General features: G+C 37.9%; 1 protein-coding gene across 2 annotated transcripts in view, besides 3 other annotated features; it reads right to left on the reverse strand.

The window, feature by feature from the left end:
• The window catches only part of TM9SF3 (transmembrane 9 superfamily member 3), a 68,903-nt gene that overhangs the window by 49,984 nt on the left and 1,501 nt on the right, over positions 1 to 17,418 (reverse strand). For both annotated transcript variants that reach the window (NM_020123.4, XM_011539976.3), the window contains exon 2: positions 8,541 to 8,736. In NM_020123.4, coding sequence (NP_064508.3) covers positions 8,541 to 8,736 — 196 coding nt within the window. The remainder of the gene's footprint in view (positions 1 to 8,540; positions 8,737 to 17,418) is intronic.
• Positions 4,100 to 4,600: an enhancer, noted in NCBI's record as "H3K4me1 hESC enhancer chr10:98331950-98332450 (GRCh37/hg19 assembly coordinates)". NCBI's record gives its function as "activates a minimal SCP1, AML or CMV promoter by ChIP-STARR-seq in primed H9 embryonic stem cells {active_cell/tissue: H9 hESC(primed)}" and the evidence as "EXISTENCE:reporter gene assay evidence [ECO:0000049][PMID:30033119]".
• Positions 4,601 to 5,101: an enhancer, noted in NCBI's record as "H3K4me1 hESC enhancer chr10:98332451-98332951 (GRCh37/hg19 assembly coordinates)". NCBI's record gives its function as "activates a minimal SCP1, AML or CMV promoter by ChIP-STARR-seq in primed H9 embryonic stem cells {active_cell/tissue: H9 hESC(primed)}" and the evidence as "EXISTENCE:reporter gene assay evidence [ECO:0000049][PMID:30033119]".
• Positions 11,668 to 12,242: an enhancer, noted in NCBI's record as "H3K27ac-H3K4me1 hESC enhancer chr10:98339518-98340092 (GRCh37/hg19 assembly coordinates)". NCBI's record gives its function as "activates a minimal SCP1, AML or CMV promoter by ChIP-STARR-seq in naive H9 embryonic stem cells {active_cell/tissue: H9 hESC(naive)}" and the evidence as "EXISTENCE:reporter gene assay evidence [ECO:0000049][PMID:30033119]".

The raw sequence follows: 17,418 nt of genomic DNA on the forward strand, positions 1-17,418 counted from the left end.
TGGTTGGTCATATCTTAATGAAATTCATCTTCCAGGCAGGTAGACAAATACAAACATCACAAATAACTGAAGAGTCTCTGGCTGCCCAACTGAAACAGCATTTCCCTCAGGAGGGAGCCAATTTGAAAATAACTAATGCAATGTGTATGAATATGCCAAATCATTATTCAGCACTCTATATATCTGGAAAACAATCTGAAAAATCTACCAGCATAAATCAGTGCTTTAAAATTATAATAGGCTATATCTTTCGAAGGTGAAACACACATCCATGAATTCTGAAAAAGATGCAATTAAGATTTTACTAATGTAAATAGTTCTTACGAGGGAAAAAAACAAAGTAGTAAAGTGGCAAATGTTAACCTTATTTTTCAAACAGAAAGCAAGGTTAGGTAGATTCTGGACACTATGCACCCCAATAATCTACCATCAGTTCCCAATAAAACTCCAGGCTAACAATTGAATAGGCAGTGAAAGCACTGAGAAAAGAAAGTGGTAATTATTCATGAGTTCTCTAAGAACACAGTATGCCATACTTTGTTTACTTTCTCTTTTGATAACATTACATTTGGAAAATGAGAAACAGTCTACCTCTAATTCAGCAGCACTTGGCAAAGTCTCTCTTCAAAGAAATCAATATATAAAAAGTTATAGAGAAATGGGCAGAAAGGTGAGGTTTATTCTGAGCTCTAGTATCTAGTAGCTATGTGAATAAAAAGCAAGTTATTTAACTTCCATGAACCTCTCAGTTCCCTTAACAGAGACAGCATCTATGCTATCTCCTTCCCAGAGTTAAGAATTAAAAGCATCAGGCCAAGCGTGCTGGCTCACACCTGGAATCTCAGCACTTTAGGAGGCCCAAGGCAGACTGATCCCCTGAGCCCAGGAGTTCGAGACCAGCCTGAGCAACATGTCAAAACCTCATCTTTACAAAAACCAGAAAAATTAGCCAGGCATGGTGGTGTGTGCCTATAGTTCCAGCTACTCAGAAGGCTGAGGCCGGGGAGGTCGAGGCTGCAGTAAGCTGTGATGGGACCACTGCACTCCAGCCTGGGTGACAGTAAGACCCTGTCTCCAAAAAAAGAAAAAAAGGATTGAAAGTGCCAATATATTCACAGAAAGTGTTCTTAAGTTTCCTTGGGCCTCACACCCCTTTGAGAATCCAATGAAAGTGATCTTTCCCTTGCCCACCCCCTGAAAATGCACATTCACATAAAATTAACGTAGAATTTCAGAGGGCCTGAAGACCCCAGAAGCCAGAGCTCTTGGTTGAACTATGCATACCCAGAGCCTACCATCGTGCTGGAATGCAGTAAGATACTCAATAACTGCTGAATTAACTAGAGGAAAACAAGAACTGGAAAAACTGATATATTCACAGTTAATTAAATAACTATATAAAGAGTACTGATTAACTGACCAACCTGACTAGCAGTATAAACAGTGTAATTTTTTCTAAACGACAATTTGGCAACATGTGTCAACAACTGCCTTAAATATGTTTATACCCTTTGATTCAGTAATTCTACTTCCAAGAATTCATCCTAATAACAGATTCAGAGATGTACTGAAATACTTATGTGCAATAGCAGAAAAAGAAAACCAAAGAAGGATGGAAGGAAGGATCAAAATATCAAACAACTAGAAAATGGGAGAAAGGCCGGGCGCAATGGCTCACACCTGTAATCCCAGCATTTTGGGAGGCCGAGGCAGGCAGATCACGAGGTCAGGAGATCAAGACCATCCTGGCCAACATGGTGAAACCCCGTCTCTACTAAAAATACAAAAATCAGCTTGGCGTGGTGGCGTGTGCCCGTAATCCCAGCTACCTGGGAGGCTGAGGCAGGAGAATCGCGTGAGGTTGCAGTGAGCCAAGATCACACCACTGCACCGCAATCCAGCCTAGCAACAGAGCGAGACTCCGTCTCAAAAAAAAGAAAGAAAATGGGGGAAAAAAACCACAGTATCCAAGTTACAGAATAGTATGTTGCCACATTTAAAAGAGTAATTAACAGTATGGGGACAAGCTCATAAAATGTCAAGAGAACAAAAGCAGAACAAAAACTATATATAACTTACTAAATGTGTTAGAATGTGCTTAAAACAGTGTCCGGCACATAATATGCACTATATAAGGATTTGTTAAATAAACTTTAATAAATATATGTAGAATGAACTCAACTTTCACATATTTAAAACAATGTGGATAAACACAAACACAGAAGGACTGAAGAAAATACAACAAAATGTTAATGGTAATTATATCCAGGTTTATATTTTCCTGTAGTTACTAAATTGTGTATTTGAACTTCTATCACTGTTACAATCAGAAAAATATATATGCATATATATTCCTTTAAAAAACAAAAAAGAGATGCCCATATTTATCAAATCTGCTGTTAGTACAAGGTATAAGAAATCGGTAATAAGAATTGACAAATTTCAGATTCAAATTATTTGGTCTGGCTAAAACACTTTGGTTGAAACCAACAGGACAACATATTGTACCAAGTTCCCAGACTTCCACTTACAAACAAGGCAGATTTAACCACAAGTATATTTCTTCTCTCTCTTAAAACCCATTAAAATGTCAGTGAAGGAATAAAAAGTATGTTAAGTCCACAGAGACAAAGAGAAGAGACAACGGTGGGAAAAAAACAAAAAAAATTGAGATGGAGTTTTGCTCTTGTCACGCAGGCTGGAGTGCAGTGGTACAATCTTGGCTCACTGCAACCTCTGCCTCCTGGATTCAAGCAATTCTCCTGCCTCGGCTTCCCGGGTAGCTGGGATTATTACAGGTCCCCGGCTAATTTTTGTATTTTTTTGGTAGAGACAGGGTTTCACCATGTTGGCCAAGCTGGTCTCGAACTCCTGACCTCAAGTGATCCACCCGCCTCGGCTTCCCAAAGTGCTGGGATTACAGGCCATGAGCCACCACCCCCGGCCATGGGAAAAAGATTTTAACAAATTTTTAGGAAATGGAAAACGGTTGTAAGATGACAAACTACTAATAAAGCAGGAGAAAACATAACAGGAGAGTGATGCCTGTAAGGGAGGGAACTGGTGTCACAGAACCCAAGAGACACTCAGGACTTGGAGGCACTACAGACCTCAAAAGCTAGGGGGACAGATGTAGGACTAAACACAAAGGGAACTGTATTAAAATATTAAATATGTACATAAATGGGTTAGATGGCCAGGTCCCCTCCTCTACCCTTCATACAGCTAGACACATACTGTACCCTCAACTTATCCCTGTAGTAGACCAGTGGCACCTTCCTCTAGAGAACTTAAACCAGAGGGGCTCCAGAATCAGGGACAGCAGGAATAGCAGAAGCTAGGGACTGAAAACAGCATGGGGGATTACCTGAAGTAAACATCTTCCGGCTGAATAAGTAAACCTACCATCCCCCCAGTCCCTTTTCCTCACCTTTTGGCAATCAGGCCTATATTCCCCAGGCAGATATCTGGAGGGAAATACCGCATGGTGAAGATAAGAACAGCCAAGATTGAGAATCACTAAACTAAAAATATATAAGGCTCTAAACAGCCCTTGGCATCTCTTCCTACCTGCAGTACTCTCAACTTAACAATTAACTCTAAAGAAAAAAATACTTGTAAAATAATTTCAGCCCTCTGTTAAGTTGCGAAATTCAAGGAAGAAAAAAATTCAAGGGAAGATCGATAAAATAAACAGAAGGAAGGAGTCCTGTAGAAGTCACTGATTTTTCCACAATTAACACACTTCATTATACTGCAAGAATTCTCAAATGGGGGAAGGGGAAGGACGGATGGGTGGTGATCTCTTCTGGTTAAGAATTACTATTCCAGATCATCTAATGTCCATAATGAACCAATTATCGTAACAACAAGTAGGCACAAACCGTCTGGATGCTAGACAATTTATTAAAAGCATACTATGTCTTAACAGCTAAGGGTGCAATGGTGAATAAGAGTGCTACTATAACAGGCTAGTACAGCAGCTTGGGGATAAATCAAAGTCTGTAATCAATAAACTAACATTTCATAATCGTAAATACAAAATCAAGGTGGAGCTACAGACCCATGCTATGTGCTATTAGTATTCCTAATTACCACTTTTCGAATATAAACTATATACCAGGAACTTTGATAAATGCTCTACATGCATTCTCATTTAAACCTGACACTTCGATCAAATAAATATTATTTCCCACACTTCACAGATAAGCAATACGAGATCAAAGAGGTTGAACAATTTGCCCATGACCACACAGGTAAGCAGAGGCAAAGCTGGATGCATCAAGTCTCTCTGACCCTAAAGCACATCTTCTATTCCACACTATGATGGCAAGGTTCGAAGAGGTACCCTCTAAAACTGGAGGGTACTGAATTCAAACCAGGCTCAAGGATGCCTAATCTAAGTCAGCCCTTCTATATTTAACGCATTTTCTTTTTTTTTTTTTTTTTTTAAGACAGAGTCTTGCTCTGTCGCCCAGGCTGGAGTGCAATGGCGCAATCTCAGCTCACTGCAAGCTCCGCCTCCTGGGTTCACGCCATTCTCCTGCCTCAGCCTCCCGAGTAGCTGGGACCACAAGCGCCCACCACCGTGCCCGGCGAATTTTTTTTGTATTTTTAGTAGAGATGGGGTTTCACCGTGGTCTCGACCCCCTGACCTCGTGATCCACCCGCCTCAGCCTCCCAAAGTGCTGGGATTACAGGGGTGAGCCACCGCGCCTGGCCCATTTTCTTAAAATGGTCTCAATTTAGCATTTTTGTCTAGTGCTAGAATATAAGATTATTAGCAAGAAAAAGTTGTGTATAAAATCTTGAGAGGCATCCTGTATTAGAGTTAGACTATCATTAGTTCCTTTAAATAGTCTCTTTAGTAATCATCATTTTACAAAACGATACCAATCCATGGAGCCTGACACAGTCTAATAGGTTAAAAAAAGATGTGTGTGTATGCATATGTAAACATGTATGTATGTGTACGTATAGTTTTCTCTGGTTTCACATTTCCAAAATTTTATTTGAATATGCCTTCAGAAGAATCTTTAAAAGTCAAATATTCAAGAGATGAAAGATTAAGAACACACGGTAAATATTCCTATAGTTCACAAGAGACATAATGTTCCAGTTTCTATTATTAGTATGCTACGATACACCATGGATAAATCACTTTATCTCTGGGCTTCTGGGAGAGGGAATTGGATGACACAATCTCTAAGGTGCATCCTATTTTTTTAATGTTTGGCTAAGTGACAACCTACAACACTTTTCAAAGCATGATCGACTTTATCTTTGAACACAGCAAGCAAAGAGCTACAGTAGAGGGCGAAGATAAATCTAATCAGCATCTACTATTTCATCTGGACCACTTAATTTAGCAGCTTCTTTAGCAGCATATCCATGCTGGAGGTGGAAACTTGGTAAGACCCCTAGGAATCAGCAACTCTCAGGGAATAACACTTGGCTAGCTCTTCTTTTTTTAATCTGAAAGTGCTTAGCTTAGTCTGAAAAGAAAATAAATCCCACTTCTTTACCCATGAAAACCATATTCCTCTATTTAAATAATCTCTCCATCTCAGCCTCTAGGAACTAATAAAAGGGGGTTTAAGATTGCCAAATAAGGTACTGGTACCAAAACAGATATATAGACCAACAGAACAGAACAGAGCCCTCAGAAATAACACCACACATCTACAACCATGTGATCTTTGACAAACCTGACAAAAACAAGCAATGACAAAAGGATTCCCTATTTAATAGGTGGTGTTGGGAAAACTGGCTAGCCATATGCAGAAAACTGAAGCTGGACCCCTTCCTTACACCTTAAGCAAAAATTAACTCGAGATGGATTAAAGACTTAAACGTAAGACCTAAAACCATAAAAATCCTAGAAGAAAACCTAGGCAATACCATTAAGGACATAGGCATGGGCAGACTTCATGTCTAAAACACCAAAAGCAATGGCAATAAAAGCCAAAATAGACAAACAGGATCTAATTAAACTAAAGAGCTTCTGCATAGCAAAAGAAACTACCATCAAAGTGAACAGGCAACCTACAGAATGGGAGAAAATTTTTGCAATCAATCCATCTGACAAAGGGCTAATATCCAGAATCTACAAAGAACTTAAACAAATTTACAAGAAAAAACCAAACAACCCCATCAAAAAGTGGGCAAAGAATATGAACAGACGCTTCTCAAAAGAAGACATTTATGCAGCCAACGAACATACAAAAAAAAGCTCATCATCACCGGTCACTAGAGAAATGCGAATCAAAACTACAATGAGCTACTACCTTATACCAGTTAGAATGGCGATCATTAAAAAATCAGGAAACAACAGATGCTGGAGAGGATGGGAGAAACAGGAATGCTTTTACACTGTTGGTGGGAGTGTAAATTAGTTCAACCATTGTGGAAGACAGTGTGGCAATTCCTCAAGGATCTAGAACTAGAAATACCATTTGACCCAGCAATCCCATTACTGGGCATATACCCCAAAAATTATAAATCATTCTACTATAAAGATACATACACATGTATGTTTACTGTGGCACTATTCACAACAGCAAAGACTTGGAACCAACCCAAATGTCCATCAATGATAGAATGGATAAAGAAAATGTGGCACATATATACCATGGAATACTATGCAGCCACAGAAAAGGATGAGTTAACATTCTTTGCAGGGACATGGATGAAGCTGGAAACCATCATTCTCAGCAAACTAACACAAGAACAGAAAACCAAACACCTCATGTTCTCACTCGTAAGTGGGAATTGAACAATGAGAACACATGGACACAGGGAAGGGAACATCACACACCCGGCCCTGTCAGGGGGTGGGGGGCTAGGGAAGGGATAGCATTAGGAGAAATACCAAACGTAGGTGACGGGTTGATGGGTGCAGCAAACCACCATGGCATGTGTATTCCTATGTATCAAAACTGCACGTTCTGCACAAGTACCCCAGATCTTAAAGTATTAAAAAAAAAAAAGATTGCTGAATTAAGTACTCTTCTTTAGTAAATATGGGTGAGGATCTCAAAAACTAATGAAATCTGTACACAGTAGCAAAGTAGGACTCAGGAGTTCTGCCTATTCTCTCTTGTTGGTTCCTCTTTAATAAACTAGAAATGCACACCAAATACGGAAAAAGAGAAAGCAGACGATTACATATAGTACCAAATCTCAAAGATCACATTTTCTAGTTTAAGTTTTCTTGTTATTTGTGACTAAATACTTAAATTACCTAATTAAATTAAAACACAAGCCTCAAAGGTATGTTTACAGTGATTCATAAAATTACAGGCCATGCCACTGTGGTTTAAATTTACAACTTAATTTTATAATTAAGCCCCAAAGACTATAAACGGGGGGATGGGGAGGGGGGAGAATGTAAATAGATACGGTATACCTATTTTCAACAATAACTGAGCAATTTTAAAAACAAGAATAAAATTTAACAAATCGAAATTAAAGTAACATTATCTTTAAAATCTCACTGACATTCTTCTCCTCAAAGTACTAAATAATAACATCTTTAGTACTAAAAATACCAGAAGTCAGTTACTATTCATCTTACACATGGAGACAATGAAGTCAAAACTGCAGTAAACAATTTTACTAAAATGAATACAGTACCAAAAAAAAAAAAAAGGAGGATTAAAATCCAAAGCTCCTGTTTACAGGATCCATGATGTATTCAAAAACCAAGACACCTAATCAAAGATCCTGCAAAAATTCAATTACTCAAGCTTCTGTTCACCATGCTAAAAATGCCTGTGCAGGAAATACACTCTCTGACAAACTTCACAGAGAAAAATGAAAAGTATAAACACACTCAAAGGACCTGATAAATGGATACCTGCATAATAACTAGATACGATGAAGTATTTTCCCCAAATTTAACAAGTCTTTGACTTAAAATTTAAATATCCTATAGGTATTAACAGGATAAATTAATACAACACTGATAAATAATACATGTTAAGCCTATGGTACAAGTTTGAATTTGAGGCGTCACACAAGAATTTTAAGTATCCACGCATCCCATTACAGCCTCAGACCTCCAGAAATTACTTTGTTAAATATCCATGAAGGTCTTCCCGGGCCACATGTGTCTAATCAATAGGGGGTTTACTAGACAACACTTTTCAGAAGGAAATATGTTAAGGAAATACAATTTTATTAACAATTATCTATTTTATTATCTTATAAATATTCAAAGGAAATCTTTGTTAATTACTAATATACTTTCCTAAATGCAATACACCTCATTTACAGACTAAAACACATTTTAGAGTCTAAAGTAGTGGTTCTCAACTGACAGCAATTAGCAATGTCTGGTGACTTTTTTGGTTTTCACAACTGGAAGGTGCTACTGGCATCTGGGGGGTACAGGCCAGGGACTCTGCTAGACATCCTAACATGTACATAACAGCTCCATACAACAAAGAATTATCCAACACCAGTGTCAATAGTGCCAAAATATGAAACCCTTGTCTACAATCCAAATTGCATTGTAAGGACTATTAAGGTTTACTTACCTTTAAATTTAATATCCAGACCACTAAATTCCAATTCAACCCCTTGAAGTGCTTCTCCCAGAGTTTCATGGTAATGACTGATACTTTTTTTTGACCCCACACAGAATGGAAGTGAAAAGTACTTATATGTTTCTTGACGATTATGGTAGGGCCCAACAGTATTCATCCATAAGACAACTTCCTCTTTATCTTGATACTGAAACAAGAAAAGCAAACAAGAATTAAAAAAAAAAAACACACTAATTCAAATTAAGGGAATATTTGTTGTGTGTTCTAAACAAAAGTGCATCATCTCTGTTCAGGAAGCTATAAAATAAATACTGGAAGCTTAATCTGATGATGAATGTCCACATCTTAAAAATGAAACTTTGTGAATTTTAAAATTATATCCTCTGATTGTAGTCTCAGGCAGATACACCTTTTCCAAACTTGTTTTATAGAAGACAGTGTTTGAACTAAGCCCAATAGCTCATAAGAGTGTGTCTATTATTTACATTTACACTATCAAATAGTGGCAAACCTGCAACCAGCATGATTCACCATGCTAACATGGACAAGGAAGGAGGAAACAAAATCAAGTTTATCCAGAACCTCATGTTAATCAATTAAAAAAAAAAAAAAACCTAATGTTGCCAGCAAGCATAAATAAAATTTCATCTCCTTGCGAGACTTTCACACAGCCACTGGTCAAAGTACTACAGAGGACAAGGAAGAAGACTGCTATAGAACCTCCACAAGTCCATTCAAGCCAACATTCTATCTTGTTAGCAGCCTGAAAGACATGCACTATATGCATATTTCTTTGAATAAGTAATTATGGAACTACATATCAGTGAATATTATACATGGCTAAATCTGAAGTGTGGTCAGTAATGACTTTGAGTAGTTCCAAGGTACAAGTGGGAGGCCTGTCAAAGATTTCTAAGATCTCGACAAGTTTAAAGTTCCAATGATTCTATGGAAACTGATTACCATGGTAATTTTAAAACTAATAATTCTAAGTAGCAGTATAAATTAAAGACAACATTGGATGCATTTAAATCAACTAATAGTGCAGACATTAATTCACTGAACAATTATTTACTAAGTGCTTAGCATGTGAAACAACTGTGTTTATAACTGAGGATACAGCTTTGAACAAGATGTGTTCCCTGTCCTACTGGGGGAAGGATGGGCATTAAACAAGCAATAATAATAAGGTAGGTTGCTATGGGGCACATAATAGAAGAAGTGATCCAACTGGCCCACTATGAAATCCTTATCTCCAGTCCTCCATCTAAAACTAGTTAATAAATAAATATTTTCAATCAAAACCTAACATCTCCAAAACCAAACTCATCTACCCAAATCCACTTCCCCCAGCTTCATTTTTCTAATGGTACTACCATTCTCTCAGCCATGGAGACTCAAACCCCAAATCTCTCTGCACTCTAGGGAACCCAAAAACATTAACTTGTATGTTCTTACCAAAAACATCTGCCTTTTTCTTTTGATTCACACGATTATCACCCTAAGACTTAGACCCAGTCATTTCATTTTCAAACATAAATGCCTCACTGTTCATATAAGACAACAGCCAGGTCATTAAGGAAATAACAAATGATCTCACCTTTTGAACACATGTGACAGGTACCAAGTATCGCGTTAGGTATTAAGAATATAAAAGTAAGTAAAATACTGTCGTTTCCTTAAGAAGTTCATAATCCACAGTGGAATCAGACAAGTAAATGATTAACAAAGAAAAAATAAGTATTATAATTAAGGTAATAAAGGGCTATTGTAGCAACAATAAAGGAATGATTAAATTCACTTTGGCAGAGAAGGTCAGGACGAATAACAATTTGGAAAATCATAAGCTGTTTCAAGGGAGTTCAGAAAAACAACTGTAGATAATCTTCACATAGGAAGTAATGAATCAAAGGTCTAAATGTTAATGTAGCAGTATATCCCCATTCATTACTATTCTTTTTATTTGGGGAGACTGACAAATATATGTATGCCCCCACTCTTCCATCCAATGCTCATGGGCCACACAATACTAATCAACCAAGTTACTCCTTTCTGCTGAACATAGATATTGCCTCAGAGTTCTCAAAACAGTGCTCTAAACCAATCATTACCAACTGATGAGAGTTGGTATTAGAATTAAAACTTGTTCATGGCCGGGTACGGTGACTCACACCTGTAATCCCAAGACCTTGGGACGCCAAAGCAGGCGGATCACTTAAGGTTAGGAGTTTGAAATCAGCCTGGCCAACATGGTGAAACCCTGTCTCTACTTAAAATACAAATATTAGCAGGGTGTCGTGGCACACACCTTGTAATCCCAGCTACTTGGGAGGCTGAGGCAAGAGAATCACTTGAACCTGGGAGGTGGAGGTTGCAGTGAGCCTGAGATTGCGCCACTGCACTCCAGTCTGGGTAACAGGGCGAGACTCAGTCTCACAAGAAGAACCTATTCACCAAGGCAAATAGATATTTAATAAATATGATGGGAAAACACTGAAGAAATGCTGAAATGTAAAGTTCATTGGCAACTTGGTAAAAGAAGTTTGAAGTATGTGAAATGACTGCTATGTACCCTGACTGTAAGAGTACCTTTTCAGAAAAATAAGGGGAGGTAACATAATTCATCTATTTAAGAGCAGAATGTTGAATGAGACGACCTATTAAAGAGCACCTTGCCATTAACCCTGCTGAGTCTGCAGAAATGTTATAAATGTAACTTGTGAAAATAAGCACAAAAATACTTTTTCTATAAATTCCAATACTTTTCCTTTAAAAATAGACAACATTTTTGAAAATAAATACCTTTAAAAATAGGGCATCCATTTATTTTATACAAATTAAAACATAAGGACTAAAATAATTTAAGGGTCCCAGTCGATGTTAAACCACATATTCCGAAGTTACTCATTTTAAACATTCAGGAATCCTTAACAGAGTGGTAGAGTTGTGATGTGATGCCCGTACTGTAATAAAATTTATATCATTTTGTAGTCTAAGATTCTTTCTGGGAAGAGGACTGAAACAGTAATTAGAAATACACATACTGAGAGTTTAGGGTGAATAGCAAGGCAAAAATAATGCTTTTTTCTTTTGTTTTGCTCCTTACTATGCAGACTGTGGTTTAATACAATTAACTTAAAATGTTTACTTTTCATTGCAGACCTTGATTGTCCCTGAGAATAAGTGCTTCCAAGACAAGATCAAGAGTTCTCTCTCAAAAGAAAATGTTTTAAAATATTTTGAAATTAAAAAATACCAAAAGACTTCACACAACTTCTGAAGGAGAAAACAAAACAAACAAAAATCTTTCCTTTCCCTAAAGCTTTGATAAAGCCCCTGAGCTCCACAGTCTGTGGGAAGAGAGTGCTAGGCCCAGAAGAAGGTGGGGTGGAGTCACAGAAGCACAGCAGTGTATCAGGGGATCCCTAAGCACGATAATAATCCCTTTCATCTGAGGCTTCCCTGGGAAACGGCCAAGTGAGAGGAGGCCAATTCAGGCTACCGGCATTCTTCACCTACTTATTTTCCAGCTCTCAGAAGAATCTCACTGCTACACTTACGTCATCCACGCTGGCCAAAACGGTTTATGATATTGTCTTCCTCCCCTTTTCTGCTTCATCTTTGTGTGTGTGTGTGTGTGTGAGACGGAGTCTTGCTCTGTCGCCCAGGCTGCAGTGCAGTGGTGCAATCTCGGCTCACTGAAAGCTCCGCCTCCCAGGTTCACGCCATTCTCCCGCCTCAGCCTCCTGAGTAACTAGGACTACAGGCGCCCACCACCACACCCGGCTAATTTTTTGTATTTTTTAGTAGAGACGGGGTTTCACCATGTTAGCCAGGACGGTCTCGATCTCCTGACCTCGTGATCCACCCGCCTCGGCCTCCCAAAGTGCTGGGATTACAGGCGTGAGCCACTGCGCCTGGCCCCACTTCATCTTCTTTCGTCATTCCACCAAATTTAGAATGCCCTCCTTTTCTCCACTTAGCCAAACTCTAATAATCCTTCCGAAATGCTCAAATCCTCCTTTTTCAAATCCTCAAGTAAAGCCTTAACTCACCAAACCCTAACATGACATGATCTCACCATTTTTGTAATAATAACATCAGTAGCTAACAATAAATACATACTATGAGCTAGGTATAGTTCTAAGGTCTTTATATGAACACTTAAATAATCATCTCAAAATTCTATAAAATAGGTCCTATTACTTCCCCATTTTACAGACTAAAAACAAAAACAAAACTAAAGAACAGAGATGTTAAGTAATTTGTCCAAATCAATCAGCATCAAGTTTAAAAGGTTAGTATTTTTGCTAATCCCTAGTCAGCTTCATTCATTAAAGAGCAAAAAACTAAATCAAGGAAATATGAAAACAGTGCCAGGTGTACAAAGCAACTAAAGACAGTCCTGAACACTGAATAACTTTTCTATGTGAGCCTTTAATCTGCCTGAAAGAAAAAAAACCTTCTAAGAAGCTATTTGCACTCTAATCTCAAAAGGAATGACCTTTATTCTCAAGAAGTCACCAATGTTGGGCCCCTCTTATTTAAATACTGTTTATGTGTTGGGGGGGTACCAAAGTTTTCCTCCTTGACAGAGGTAATGAATTAATTATTATCAGGAGAAACGCTTTAGAAGATAATATGCTGACGTGGTCATGTGAAATCTGAATAAGAAATCACAATTTACATAGATGAGCAAAGGACTGAGGGTTCAGAACAAGCACCCAAATGCTATCCTTCATTTTCATACAAAGGGGGAAAAATATATGTGTTTACTTCAAAATAATGTTCCAGAAATCATAATTTCAAAACCTTTAAATTATTAAAACACACATCAGAATTCTAATACAAATAAATTAGAAATGTAATTTTGAATAGTCTCTTGAGATAACTACTCTCTCTCAAAAATAGCTTTGTACCTAAATAAACTTTCAGTCTATCATTGAGTAGAGCTGAAAATAGGACAACGAATTACGGCATTTAACAATCTACATTAGATAACTCACAAATTCACTTATAGTAAACAGCTTATACTCTTTATAAGTTTTCAGTAAGTTTTAAGAGTTCCTATACTCCCAACAGAGACAAAGACAAAAGGTTTCCATTTGCCAAAGTAAATCAAACAAAACATTTCTGAAATCACTCCGTGATATAATACAAATTATTTATGAGGCAGAGGCTGAGTAAACGATTCTAGTAGGCATCCAGTCTGTCCAACATTAGAAGTCTCAAGATTACCAGAAGTACACTGGGCCACAGAGAAATAGGGAATTTTAGCCTAGGTAGGACCCCCAAATCAAAACAGAAGACTATGCATCTTAAAGGAATAACGGCCTCAGTTTGTTCATTGTGCTTCCACACTGCATATCCTTGTCACTAGTAGCTCCCTAATTATTCAAGTCATTCAACAAGCACTCATCAAGTACTATTTGTGCCAAGCACAGTGCTTGCGTATATAACAGACCAAAAAAAAAAAAATCTGACTTTGTGATCTTGTTAAGGAAACAGAACCCATAAAAATTCAAGGCTACAGTGCAAACTATAAAATGCTCTAAGATTCCTGTGCCCCTAAGTACTGGGTTTTTGCTGCTAACATCTTTACATATTATAACTATGGAATTACATGTAAAAGACAGGTAGAAAAGACAAGACTGGCGATCAGGAAGCTCTGATTCTTTCTGTGGCCTTGAGCAAGTCTCTGAACCTGTACAGGCCATTAGGAAAATGAAGAGTTTTGGATTAAATTATTGAGTCTTTCTAGTTCTAAAATTCTATGATTCTCAATCTGAAATTGTTTTTAATGGAGTCCTTCGGAATCTTAGGAGACATAGTAATCTAACTCTAGATGCTTCCAAGTGCTTTGAGTTTTAGAAAACCAAATAAGCATAAACATACCTTTCACTGACTATAAAGAAGCCTATGTCCCTTCAATCAGTTATTAAAAGCCTGTCTTCCACAAAAGTGTTAATTTTCATTTCAAACAACATGTCTGTAATGCATATGATTCAACTTTTAAAAATTAAAAGGAACACATTTTTACATATTCTAGATATGTACATACAGTCAATAGCACATTTCCTTTTCAACACTCTTCAGAGAATATTAAAATAACTTTGGACAAATAAGCACATAAAATATATACATATATACCATAGGGTCAGGCGCAGTGGCTCACACCTATAATCCCAGCACTTTGGGAGGCCGAGGCAGGCGGATCACCTGATATCAGGAGTTCAAGACCAGCTGACCAACATGGAGAAACCCTGTCTCAACTAAAAAAATACAAAATTAGTCAGGCACGGTAGCACATGCCTGTAATCCCAGCTACTCAGGAGGCTGAGACAGGAGAATCGTTTGAACCCGGGAGGCGGAAGTTGCAGTGAGCCGAGATCACGCCATTGCACTCCAGCCTGGGCAACAAGAGTGAAACATAGTCTCAAAAAAAAAAAAAGAAAAAAAAGAAAGAAAGAAAGAAAAAGAAAAAAAAATACCATATGGGTCAGATGGCCACCTGAATCCTAATTCAGTAGGTACAGTAAGAGATATCAGGGGCTTTGGGGAATGGGCATAAGGTATTGTCCCTTCTTAGGACAAGCTATATAATTTGTGCGACCCAGTACAGAAAAATACAGAGCCCCTTGTTAAAAAATTTAAAACTTCAAGATGTTACAGGATAGCATGAAAACAAGCTCTCACACAGTCTTTTGTGACTATTCAGGGCACGTGCCCATGAAGTCAACACTATTGCTCCTTAATGCTAACCCAAAGATCTCAGAAACAACTCATCATGGAGCCACACTCATTCGAGCATTTAAGCATTTAAGCACTTAAAAATCAATATAGAGAACCACTCAATACCTAGTGCTTTACTGTCTTATTTTTAGGATAAAGGGGAATAGAGCATATGGCGGCTCACAGTGCAGAAGACTATCAACTCAGAATGCCTAAGTTCAAATCCCACCTCTACCCCTACCAGATGTGTGTTATCTGCAGGTGACCTCACCTCTCTAGATTCACTTTCCTCATCTACAAAATGGGCATATTACTCACCTCGTAGGTTATTAATAGATGAGTTAATAAGTGTAAAATACTTAGAACAGTGCATAGCCAGCAGGGCATGGTGGCTCACACCTGTAATCCCAGCACTTTGGGAGGCCGAGGCAGGCAGATCACCTGAGGTCAGGAGTTCAAGACCAGCCTGGCCAACATGGTGAAACCTCGTCTCTACTAAAAATACACAAATTAGCCAGGCATGGTGGCAAGCACCTGTAATCACAGCTACTAGGGAGGCTGAGGCAGGAGAATTGCTTGAACCCAGGAGGCAGAGATTGCAGTGAGTGGACATTGTGCCACTGTACTCCAGCCTGGGTGACAAGAGCAAAACTATGCCTCAAAAAAACAAAACAAAACAAACAAAAAAAAACAGTGCATAGCCCATTTTACTACAAAAGACATACTAGGTATTATCTGGAAACAATCTTCACAGGCAATTAACCTAAAAGGCCAGCTTCAGCTTCTAAAAGTTATTGTTTGATAATTCAATTCTACATGTATTTACTAAACACCTACTCAGCAACTTCCCCACACCAATGTCTCCTCTTCCTTTAGTATTATTCTCTCTTTACTAGCTACTTCTGCTTCTTTGACAGAAAAAAATAAATAAAACTCACTTGACATTAGCCTTTTCGGTACTACTATCTGGCTAAGAGGAATAGGAATGCCTAGTTTTTGAGAAATATTTTCAAGAAATTTAGAAAAAGCAAAAGATTTTGGCTAACAGTGAAAAAATAATATAAATGACATTTGAATTTTATGCTTATTTTTAGATGCTATTCTTCCCATAACTGTTTTTGTTTTTGTTTTGCTTTTTACAATACATATTCGGCCAGGCGTGGTGGCTCATGCCTGTAATCCCAGCACTTTGTGGGGCCAAGGCAGGCAGATCACTTGAGGCCAGTCGTTTTGAGTTCAAGACCAGCCGGGCCAACATGGCGAAATCCCCTTTCTACTAAAAATACAAAAATTAGCTAAGTGTGGTGGCGCACACCTGTAATCCCAGCTACTTGGCTAAGGCACGAGAATCGCTTGAGCCCGCAAGGCTGAGGTTGCAGTGATGTGAGACAGCACCACTGCACTCCAGCCTGGGCAACAGAGTGGGACTCTGTCTCAAAAATAAATAAATAAATAATAGGTATTTAATAATGGGTAACCAAGTAAGAGCAGTTCAATATAGACATGAAGTAATATGGATTCTAAATTTTTTGTCTAGCAACCATCTCATATATACCATATTATCTTTCGTGGCAGTCAACAAAAACCTTTTATCAAATATCTTATATGCAATTACTAGAATAAAAAACTGAAATAGTCCTAGCAATAAAACTGCATTGAAATTACACTTTTAATTTGTAAATTATTCTAAAGCCTTTATATACACCCAATTTGTAAAATTTTAATGGTTTCCCTAATCACAGCAGTGTAAGTCACAAGATTACAAGATTAAAAAGTAGAATACAGTACACTTTTGAGCTTATATGCCTGTATCACGGAACTACACATTGAGAGTTCTGAGTTTCATATGGTAACTTTTCCTAAGTGTTTTTTTAATTGGAAATATATTAGTAATAATATCATTAAACAGAAGGATGGATGCCCACTGAAAATTTAAAAATACTCAAAGACCCAAATCTATACATGGTCCCTGTATACTATGTGAAACAATAGCAGTTCTTAAACTTTGAGACAGCTTATCTGATGAAAGAACACAAAAGGAAATCGTTTTAAGCTGTTTAACCTCCCAACAAAATTATCTTAGGTGAAACACCACAAGTACAGTACAAAAACATGTCACCAATTCGAGATTTGTGTC

Source organism: Homo sapiens, chromosome 10 (assembly GCF_000001405.40).
Source record: "Homo sapiens chromosome 10, GRCh38.p14 Primary Assembly".
Taxonomy (NCBI): Eukaryota; Metazoa; Chordata; class Mammalia; order Primates; family Hominidae; genus Homo; species Homo sapiens.